General features: G+C 36.5%; 1 long non-coding RNA gene across 2 annotated transcripts in view; it reads left to right on the plus strand.

Moving 5' to 3' along the window:
* Nucleotides 1–12135, plus strand: part of LOC105376942 (uncharacterized) — a 150192-nt gene that overhangs the window by 58503 nt on the left and 79554 nt on the right. The window contains exon 4 of one of the 2 annotated variants that reach the window (XR_940579.2): nucleotides 1316–1402. The exons of the other annotated variant lie outside the window; for it this stretch is intronic. This is a non-coding gene — a long non-coding RNA (uncharacterized LOC105376942). Of the gene's footprint in view, nucleotides 1–1315; nucleotides 1403–12135 lie in introns of those variants that run through there. 2 annotated transcript variants of the gene reach the window in all.

Consider the following 12135-nt stretch of genomic DNA (forward strand, 5'->3'; position numbering starts at 1 on the left):
CAAAATACTGTGGATAAAGGCAACTGTCAATATTCATAAAAACTTCATGGTAGTAAAATGTGGAGGAAAGTAATGGGGTGTCTGATGGAACCTGAGAATTCTGAAAACAGAGAAATCCAAAAAAGCCAGCTGGGACTCAGGCAGGCCAACATGTGCCTGAGTCAACAACAGCCGACACTGAGAGTTTTGGCATCTCCAGGAAAGGGTAAACAAAAGAGCCCACGAGTTCACAGCAGGCCATGGACTTTCAAAACTTACCTTTCAGCACTCCCTTCCAGGACAGGGCCTCAAATTGAAAAGAAACAGCTGGGGTGGAATCAATATTGAGCAGAACAAGGACAAAAAAAAAGGATAAAGAAGGTCTAGATCAAAGTCCAGAGAAGAACACAGCCAGTGAGCGCTCATGTTTTTGAACACTGTGCACATATCACAGAAGAGCAACCTCTGTGAAGTTAGAAGTGATCCAGCAATCCCTCTACTGGGCTTTTGTCTAAAGGAAAGGAAATCAGTATATCAAAAAGATACACCTCCATATTTATTACAGCAGTAGTCACAATACCTCCATGTTTATTGCAGCAGTAGTCACAATAGCCAAGATATAGAATCAACTTAAGTATCTGACAACAGATGAATGGATAAAGAAAATGTGGTGTATATTAATATACACAATGGAATACTATTCAACCTTAAAAAATGAAATTCTGTCATTCACGGCAACATGAATACAACTGAGGGACATTATGCTAAATGAAATAAGTTAGGAACAGAGAGTTAAACCCTGGATGTTCTCACTCATATGTGGAAGCTAAAAAACATTGATTTCATAGAACAAATAAGTAGAACAGAGAATACTAGAGGCCGGAAAGGGGAAAGGGAAGGGGACTAGGGAGAGGTTTGCTAAAGAATTACAAAAGTACTAGACAGGAGAAATAAGTTCCAGGGTTCTATAGCACTGTAGGAGGACTATAGTTAACAATAATACATAGTTTCAAACAGCTAGGAGGAGAACATAGACTGTTCCCCACACAAAGAAATGATAAACATTTGAGATGATGGATATGCTAATTATCCTGGTTTGATCACTATACATTATATATACCACAACATCACTCTTATCCCAAAATATGTACAAGTTATTGTGCGTCGATTACCAAAAAAAATTTTTTAAATGATACTCTGAGATATGACCCCTTCCAAAGTTCAGGACAACTCATTCACATAAAAATATTTCACAGAATATTATTTTGAGGTCAAATGCCATACAAAGTTATCATAAGAAACAAAGATATTAAGATGTAAAACATCTTTCCTACAGATGATAAAACATACTGTGTCCAGAATTTATTCCTTCCAGTGGGCTGTTGGTCTCACTGACTTTAAGAATGAAGCTGCGGACCCTCGTGGTGAGTGTTACAGCTCTTAAAGATGGTGTGTCTGGAGTTTGTTCCTTCAGATGTTCAGATATGTCTGTAGTTTCTCTTCCTGCTGGTGGGTTCATGGTCTTGCTGACTTCAAGAATGAAGCCACAGACCTTCATGGTGAGTGTTACAGCTCTTAAAGGTGATGTGGACCCAAAGAGTGAGCAGCAGCAAGATTCATTGTGAAGAGCAAAAGAACAAAGTTTCCACAGTGTGGAAGGGGACTTGAGCGGGTTGCCGCTGCTGGCTTGGGTGGCCAGCTTTTATTCCCTTATTTGGCCCCTCCCACATCCTGCTGATTGGTCCATTTTACAGAGTGCTGATTGGTCCGTTTTACAGAGTAATGATTGGTGCATTTACAATCCTTTAGCTAGACACAGAGCGCGGATTGCTGCGTTTTTACAGAGTGCTGATTGGTGCATTTACAATCCTTTAGCTAGACACAGAACACTGACTGGTGCGTTTGCAGTCCTTTAGCTAGACACAGTGTGCTGATTGGTGCATTTTTACAGAGTGCTGATTGGTGCATTTACAATCCTTTAGCTAGACACAGAGCGCTGATTGGTGCATTTACAATCCTCTAGCTAGACAGAAAACTTCTCCAAGACCCCACCCAACCCAGAAGCCCAGCTGGCTTCACCTCTCAATACCAGATACACTTGTCCACCAGCAGATTATAAGTGGAGCATGATGTTTAATAATGAGTAAAAAGACATTAAGGAAATATATGATGTATGAATACATAATATAATTCACAATTTTTCTACATTTTCCTGTTTGTTTAAAGTCATCAGTGAAGGGGCTGCATGTTCAGACCATATATATATATATATATATATATATATATATATATATATATATATGATATGATATATATGACATAACCACAAATGGATGAGGAAGAGATTGGAGGATGCAGATCCAAAATGTTTTGTTTTTTCTTAGGAATTTGATTGATGGCAGCACTATTAGTATATTATTCTGAAATGGTTCTGAGTATAATTTAGAAAAAAGTAAATGAGTATTAGATATTTTACTTCTACCATTGTCTGTGTCCAAGTAAAGCATATTTCACATTGCAGATGTATAAAAAAGGAGACACATATGTGAGATACAAGAGGCAGAGTTAAATCCTGTAGCCTTGTGTTTTAAATAGCAATATTAGAGCTGGGCATGGTGGCTCACACCTGTAATCCCAACACTTCGGGAGGTTGATGGGGGAGAACAGCTTGAGGTCAGGAGTTCAAGGCTGGCCTGGGCAGCAGAGCAAGACTCTGTCTCTACAAAAAAATTTTAAAAATTAGCCAGGCACTGTGGCATGCACCGGTCGTCCTAGCTTCTTAGGAGGCTGAGTGGGTAGGACTGCTTGAGCCCAGGAGTTCAAGGCTGCAGGGAGCTATGCCCGAGCCACTGCACTCCAGCTTATGTGACAGAAGGAGACCCTATCTCAACAAAAGAAGAAAACTGAAAAAATAAATAGAAATATTAAGTGAACTCAAGATGTATTTTAAATTTAATATTTGAGTATAGGTCATATATATCAATTATATATAGTTAAAGTATATTATAAGAGTACATATCTTTATCTTCCTATATAACACGTACCTGTGTTATGTAGGATATATATACTTCTGGTGGGTTCGTGGTCTCGCTGACTTCAAGAATGAAGCCACAGACCTTAGTGGCAAGTTTTACAGCTCTTAAAGGTGGTGCAGACCCAAAGAGTGAGCAGCAGCAAGATTCACTGTGAAGAGCAAAAGAACAAAGCTTCTACAGTGTGGAAGGGGACTCGAGCGGGTTGCCGCTGCTGGCTTGGGTGGCCAGCTTTTATTCCCTTATTTGGCCCCTCCCACATCCTGCTGATTGGTCCATTTTACAGAGTGCTGATTGGTCAATTTTACAGAGTGCTGACTGGTGCATTTACAATCCTTTAGCTAGACACAGAGCGCTGATATATACACATATCACACATACACACATATATATACACACACACCACAGGTATGTATTATATAGGAAGATATTAGGAAAATGTATGTGTATGTATACGCACATAGACCTATATATACATACACACACCACAGATATGTATTATATACAAAGATAAAGATATGTACTCTCTTTCTCTCTCTCTATATATATACGCATATATATATCCTGAAAGAGTTCTGAAACCTCAACCAACCCAGTGACTCTGAGCATTTTAAGACTTCAGACTGTGGTTTTTTTTTGTTGTTTGTTTGTTTTTAGTATTTATTGATCATTCTTGGGTGTTTCTCGGAGAGGGGGATTTGGCAGGGTCACAGGATAATAGTGGAGGGAAGGTCAGCAGATAAACACGTGAAGAAAGGTCTCTGGTTTTCCTAAGCAGAGGACCCTGCGGCCTTCCGCAGTGTTTGTGTCCCTGGGTACTTGAGATTAGGGAGTGGTGATGACTCTTAAGGAGCATGCTGCCTTCAAGCATCTGTTTAACAAAGCACATCTTGCACCGCCCTTAATCCATTTAACCCTGAGTGGACACAGCACATGTTTTAGAGAGCACAGGGTTGGGGGTAAGGTCATAGATCAACAGGATCCCAAGGCAGAAGAATTTTTCTTAGTACAGGACAAAATGAAAAGTCTCCCATGTCTACTACTTTCTACACAGACACAGCAACCATCCGATTTCGCAATCTTTTCTCCACCTTTCCCCCTTTTCTATTCCACAAAACCGCCATTGTCATCATGGCCCGTTCTCAAGAGACTGTGTTTTTTTTTTAATACCATTTCCTGCTGCAAGAAATCAAGAATTATTGGGGAAATGGCTGATTCCAGTTTTAACACAGAAAATGTACAAAATGAATGAGGAAGCTATATAAAATAAAAACTACTATGGCTATGTCAAATGAACTTAGGAGCCTATTTGTAGAGGTTCCCACTGGCCAAAGATGAGATCATATGAACTTTAAAAAGGATAATACTTGCAACAGATTACAATCTATTAAGCAGGTTTCCATTTGTGGATTAATAATTGTGTGTGTGTGTGTGTGTGTGTGTGTGTGTGTGTGTGTGGTTCACACATATACTAACTGGTTTTTTTTGAAGGATGATAGAATCTCAATTATTTATTTTAAAAATTGATAATTTAAAAATAAAAATAAATATTTATTTTTTAAAATATTTATTTTTAAAAAAATTTTATTTAAAAAAATAAAAATAAAAATTTATTTTAAAAATTTATTTTAAAAATATCACCACTTTGCAATCCCCAATGAATTAATGGTTCCAGATTTCAAGCATCAAAACGCACTAAAATCATTAAAAAGACTTTAAGGCATTAGGCACTTGCTGTGACACCATCTTTTTTTTAAGTTGAGCTATGATTCACATACCCAAAATTCACCTTTTGGATGCATTTAGTATTTAGTGTGTTCATGAAGTTGTGAACCGTCATCTCATTCCAGAATATTTTCACCCCCCAAGGAGAAACCTGTTTTCCATCAGCAGCCCCTCTCAGTCTCCACCCCTGACCCCAGCAACCGCGAATCTGTATTCTGTTTCTAGAGATTTGCCTATTCTGGATATTTCATTTAATTGGAACCACACAAACTTGTGACCTTGGTGACTGGCTTCTTTCACTTAGCGTAAATTATCCATGTTGTGGCATGGATCAGGACTTCACTTTTTGTGGCTGAACATATTCTACTGTAAGGATATGCCACTTTTGTTTGTTTAGCCATTCATCAGTTGATAGATATTTGAGTTTTTTCACTTTTTTTGAATATTATGAATAATGCTGCTATGTATATTTTCTACAAAATGTACATATATGTGGATGTACATTTGGACGTTTTCAATTTTCTTGAGTATATGCCTAGAAGTGAATTAATGGAGTCATATGAAAACTCTATATTTAACTTCATTGAGGAACTGCCAAGCTGTTTTCCACAATGACCACCTATAATCAATCTTGCCAAAGAAATTGAACCTGATTCTGACCAAGTCCCTTGATTCATCTGCCAATTTGCAAGAAATGCAGAGGACGGGGGAACATGTTGCTCTGCACCATGATTGGGCAGTCAGCAAGATCCCAACCGAGAAGATAGATTGGCTAAACTACTGACATTATTCAACAGGTAAATTATAAGGAAATTAAAGGGCTAGAGGAAGTATCTGAAGATCAAAAGAGATTTTCAAAGGCATATCAAGCTTTTTTTATTTTATATTATTTTATTTTATTTTATTTCATTTCATTTCATTTTTTGAAACGGAGTCTTTTTTCTGGAGTGCAGTGGTGCAATCTCAGCTCACTGCAACCTCTGCCTCCTGGGTTCAAGCGATTCTCCGGCCTCAACCTCTTGAGTAGTTGGGACTGAAGCATGCGCCACCACACCCGGCTAATTTTTGTTTTGTTTTGTTTTGTTTTCAGTAAAGACAGGGTTTCGCCATGTTGGCCAGGCTGGTCTTGAGCTCCTGACCTCAAATGATCCACCTGCCACCGCCTCCCAAAATGCTGGGATTACAGGCGTGAGCCACCATGCCCGGCCAGAAGGCATATCAAACTTTAAAGGGGAATGGGTAGATTAAAGTGTCTTGAGATGAAAAAAAGTGAAAAGAAGCACATTTAAATAAACTGATATATTCTGTGTAAAGTATTGGTTATTAGTCAAGAAAATCGGTCCAAATAAATTTCACAAAAAGATGAGGATTTAAGTTTTATTCAGGTTTCACTTTACATTATATTTTAGTATTGTTTGAGTTATTTACTTGAAAATGTCTGATACTATTTTTTTCTTTTCTTATTATTTGTATTTGCATATATTTTCACGAATTTTTATGTAACTTCAAAGTAACCATTTTCAAGACTTAATTTTTTTAAGAATAGTTTTAGGTTCACAGCATAACTGAGAATAAAGTACCAAGATTTTCCATATATCTCCTTCCCCCACCACTGCACAGTCTCCCCAACTATCAACATCCCCCACTAGAGTGGGTACATTTGTTACAATTGATAAACATGTATTAATACATCAGTATCACCAAAAGTCCATAGATGATACTAGGATTCACTCTTGGTGTTGCACATTTTATGGGTTTTGACATATGTATAATGACCTGTATCCACCATTATGGTATCATATAGAGTATTTTCACTGCCCAAAAATTCCTTTGTGCTTAACCAATCTCTGGTGACCACTGGTCCTCTTACTGGCTCCATAGTTTTGCCTTTTCCAGGATATCACAAAGTTGGAATCACATAGTATGTAGTCTTTTCAGATTGGCTTTTTTCACTTATTAATATGTATATTAAGATTCTAACCTGTCTGTCCATGGCTCCGTAGCCCATAAGAAACCAGTTCTTAAATCCAATCCTATGTGTCTATACTCTCTTGCTCTCACAAACAATAACATGAAATAATTTTTGGTTAAAAAACAATTTTTGCCTCAGAGACATTTTCTCCGCCCTCAAGTCACAAATAATGATAGAATATCACAGAATCAGCTTGAATTAAAACGATGGAAAGATTTTAGGTGTTTATTGTGATTTCTGAAAAAGGAATTCCATTCATCTCTGGATATTTTGAAATCATTAGGGCAAACAATAAATAATAATAATAATAATGTAATTAAGTGTCTTACATGGAAATACTTTTAGAATTTCCAGAATTGAAAGCCTGACTGTGACTAAGGAAAAATGTATTTTCCCTCTGAAAATGACACTTGACTGAATCTTTCTCATTCTAAGCTTTAAACCTCTCCCATACTCTCTAAGCTGGTTTTCCCTGTGACAACTGGAAAGGGAGAGCAAATTCATTACACTTTGGGCACTGTAATTTAGATAAAATCAAAGAGCACCTTCCCTAACTGAAGTGATTAGAAACAGGCCATATGTTGTGATTTTCAAACCAAGGTGTGTGGTCAGGAGAACTGGCTCTGTGACAAGAGGCTGAAAGTTTCTGAATTAGAGGATAGCGTGCACACCATTGAAACAGAAAATGCTGTTTCCTCTTCCCATCACTTTGGTACACATTGAGAGTCATTTAGTAAAAGTAGAAGAACAGAGACGCTGATTAGCAGTACACAGTCAAGTGCATTGGTGGTGCAGTGGCCTCAGGGACACCTTGGTTTCTAGAGAATTTACAAATTTGAGAAATAAACTTTCAGGACGACCATTACAAGATGAGAGGGAAAAGAAGGACCCTGGATATTGCAAAGAGGAAACTGCTCCAGTGTAGTGGCATTAATATTACCATCTTGCATTTCCCTACAAACATCACTAACATAGACTTTGGGCTAAATTCTACAGTTGTTTTGCTTGTAAGCTCCCCAGCATCTCTAGTGGCAGCTATTATGTCCACTTTCAGTTCCTAGCTGTGTGCATTATATTTGCATTCGTGATTGCCCTGACTATTCACCCTTTCGCTTATCTACACCCTCTCAATGAAACTGCAGTGCCTTCTCTGGTTTTAGTGTAATTCTCTACCACTGCATTCAATCCGCTGATAACTTTGGCCAACAGACCGATGCAGAAGTGATGGCGCACTGCTTTTCTCTCTAGTTCTCAAGCACTGTCTTGCTTCTATATTCCCGCCTATTCTTCAGCCATTGCTAAGAGAAAGGCCTTGTACCAGGTGAATGATGAGAGATACACGGAGCAGAGACCCACAGACACATGACCGGTCCCAGCCAATACCAGCATTGCATAACATCGATTAGATGAACCCCACATATGCAAAAAGCTAAGTACCACTGATGTCTGGGGTGGTTTGTTGCATAACAGTAACTGACTGATACGTCATCTTTTCTCAAGCTAGCAGGCCTTCATTCTAGATGTTCCTTCTGTGTAGAATGCTCTTTCTATGTTCTCCCTCACTCCTTTGTGAATAAATACAACTATCCATTATATCTTAGCTTAGGCATCACTTCTTCCTGAAAACCTCTCTTTATCCCCAAAGAGAGGGATAGGCACTCCTTCTCCTTCTTTCCTAACTTTCTTGACTTGTTTCAATCATAGGTATTCAAGATAGTTAAAAAGGCAGGCCACTGAGTAAGATAACCTGGGTTGAATGATTTAATTCACAATTCAAGTATTTCACGGATGTATGGGACACATTCTCTAAATGACAGTTTTCTCACTTTTATAATGGTTTTAACCTACAGTTTGTGATAGGGTCTGAAGCACATGACATACACATCATGTTTAGTACAGTGCCCTGTACCTAGTAAAGCACTCATTAATTCTTGGGTGCAATTATTATTACCATATATGGTAGTATACTGTTTACATTAAAGCTCTAGCTGCCTAAATTACTCCAATCTATGAAGAAAACATCCTCTAATTAAGTATCTGGCTACCCTAGCATATAGTTCATATAAGTAGGATGGGTTAAATGTTTGATTAAGTCCCCTAATTTGTCCCAACTCATGTTTTCTTTACCAGTTTTGAAATAAGTTGGTTCACTATCATTCCTCTCCAAAATGAGAAAAAAAATTCTCTCGTTTTTATTATTTTGAACTTAAGAATTGTAAAATACCTGATGTATTTCAGTAATTGCAATTATTCTTATTTGTGCTCAAATTCTCATCTTGGGCCATAGGAAATCTCTTTACATTAGATGCTGAGTTCTTTAACATACCTTAGTAGTTTCAATAATTTCCTTGGTTTCTGATTTAAGCATATTCTCCAGGCCTATCTCGTAATTTCTCTACCCCAGCTATTTCTTTAAAGCTCCCCAGTTCCTTTTATCAGAAATGGCAGAGGCCATGCTCCCAGTGTTATGAGTTTTGCTACTGATTTGACTCTGATTCTGGGTATTTTCAATAGACAGAATTAGAAACTTTTTTAAGTTGGTAGATGAAATTGTATGTATTTATTGTGTACAAAATGATGTTTTGAAGTCTATATGCATTGCAGAGTGGTTAAATATAGCTAATTAACAAATACATGACCTCGCATAGTTACTGTTTCTGTGGTGAGGACACAACATCCACCATTTTTGTGTTTTTCAAGAGTACAATATGTCGTCATTCCCTACAGGCACCCTGCTGCACAATAGAGCTCTTGACCTTATTCCTTCTATTTGACTGTAATTATGTATTCTTTGACCAACATGTTCCCAACCCTCCCTCCCCTCTACTCCACCTTCTGGTAACCACCATCCTGCTCTCTACTTCTATGAGATCACCCTTTTTAGATTCCACGTATGAGTGAGATAATGTGGTACTTGTCTTTCTATGCCTTGCTTATCTCATTTAACATAATGTTCTCCAGGGTCATACAGGTTATCACAAATGACAGGATTGTCTTATTTCTTATGGCTAAATAGTATTCCACAATGAATATATACCACATCATCTCTATGCATTTATCCACTGATGGACACTTAGGTTGATTCTATACCATGATATTGGGAATGATGTGGAAATAAACATAGGAGTGCAGCTATCTCTTTAACATACTGATCTCATTTCCTTTGTATATATACCCGTAGTGGGATTGCTAGATCATACAGTAGTTCTATTTTTAATTTTTTGAGGAACCCCTATTCTTATCCATATTGGCTATACTAATGGAAATATTTTAAAGGTATATTCCATACAAATTGAAAATTCATCACAAGTAAAACTTTGTATTACAAGTTCATCAGAATAGCTTCTTATTTTTCTCCTCTAGTCTAACTACAACATTCCAGACTTTGCAAGTGAATTCTTTTTTTTTTTAACTTAAAATACCCGATCTGTTATTTAGCATGTATGGGATTCCTGAATACAGGTTGGTATGACTTCTGAAATAAAGTGGAGAGAGATCATCATAGGATAATAAATCAAGAAAAAAATCACCTTGTCTAAATTATGCCATGCCCTTGATTAAATTGTTCCCATTCTCTTTCCCATTTAAGGACCTTTGGACATGCAATTTTATTATTTTTTAACAATTAACAATAATTTTAATATTATCAAATATCCAATCGTCTTTTAAATGTCATCATAAAATTTATTTTGTGTTTTAAGATTGTTTGAATCTTGATCTAAATAAGTTCCATGGGTTGTGATTCTTTTAACTATCAGCTTCCTTTGCATCTCTCTTTGTTTTTCTTTGAAATCTATTTGCTTAAGAAACCAGATCGTTTATCCTGTAGAGGTTTCCATACTGTAGATTTGGCTGATTGCATCCCTATCCTGTCCTTTAATATTTTATTCTGTCTCCTGTATTTTGTGTAACTTGCCATTTGAATCTATATTTAGGTTGACTTTTTGGCAAGAATACTTCATAGGAGACCTGTGATGTCTGGTTATCTCCATTTGTGCTATTAGCAGACATTGCTAATCAATGCCACTATCCATTAATTAATTAAGAGTTGCCGGATAATATTCCAATTCTATCATTTCTTCTTGATTTATGAGCTGAAAAGGTAAAAACTTTAATGGATTGAAGCACATATGTTTAACTCCATGAATTCACAATGATACTAAATATATTTAGTTGGTCACTTTTGGAGTATTCGATGTTTTGAAAACTGTTAAAATAATTGTGCCATTTTATTTTCATGGATTGCATTTCACCTGAATTCTAACCTTGAATTGTTATTATTTATTCATTATTCTTTTTTATTCAGCTTAAATTTCACTCTTTCTAAGAGTTCTTCTTCTTCTTCCTGCCCTCAGTCTAAACTGTATTTTTATGCCATACTGACTTACAATACTTTCAGCTTTCCTTTAACACTACCCATTGCAATTGGTTAACTGGCTAGTGATCTTGTTTAAGAATTGTCTCCTCCAGTAAACTCTAAATTCTATGTAATCAAATAATTTGTTTATACCTCTCCCCCAATATCTGGTATAGTTCCTTAAAACATATATTTAATAAATAAATACAGAAATAGAGCATTCATTATTCATCCTAATAGCTAAGCTAAAGATCTTCGGTAAAATAAAAGAGAGATCAAAATTGGTTGTGTAACACAATTATTTTAAGATTCTTTGTAGCTCACTAGGAATTCTACTAGGGTTGTCGCCTCACTTTGCTAGTATTTGCTTTTTGTTTTTTGTTTTTACATTCTACACAATCTTTATTTAACCAAAGAGCAAAATGGCTTAATCCCCACTTGTTAACACTTAATAAGTGCTGATTTCATTCTCAGTATATTCAGTTGAGATTGGTTGGCTAATCCCAGGGGATAGATGTACTATACTATTCTGAGAAGTTTGTTTTTAGATGATTACTTCCAGAATTGGGAAAGATCTGGCTCTACTATAGCCTCCATGAACTCCCAATTTTACCAACTTAATCATATGACAGCTTGACCTAGGGACCATATATTGAGAGTTTGATAAAAATTTAAGAAGAAATTAATCATTTTTTCTATCTGTTCTCGAATCCCATATCACAAATTGAAATACGTAGGGAAAAGCTAATCATGATACAGTCACATTCGTGTGTTTACTAATATGGGCTGTAAGGGAAAACCTCCCTAAATGTCTCCTGTGGAATGTAACTAAGTTATACTAGGTTACATTTGTAAATTAATTTGAGTGGATATCTCTCTTTTATTCAAGTGATTATTCCCAGAAATGTAGGCTATTCATATCTTTTTTTTAAACCGATGAGGTTATTCACTAATAAATCATCATATCAACTGGGGGACACAGAAGTTCTTAAAAAATATCAATTAAGATATTTGAGATATCTGAACATACTTAAACTTCCACGTGTATGTATGTTTGTGTGTATGTATGC

Source organism: Homo sapiens, chromosome 3, assembly GCF_000001405.40.
Source record: "Homo sapiens chromosome 3, GRCh38.p14 Primary Assembly".
NCBI classification, from domain to species: domain Eukaryota; kingdom Metazoa; phylum Chordata; class Mammalia; order Primates; family Hominidae; genus Homo; species Homo sapiens.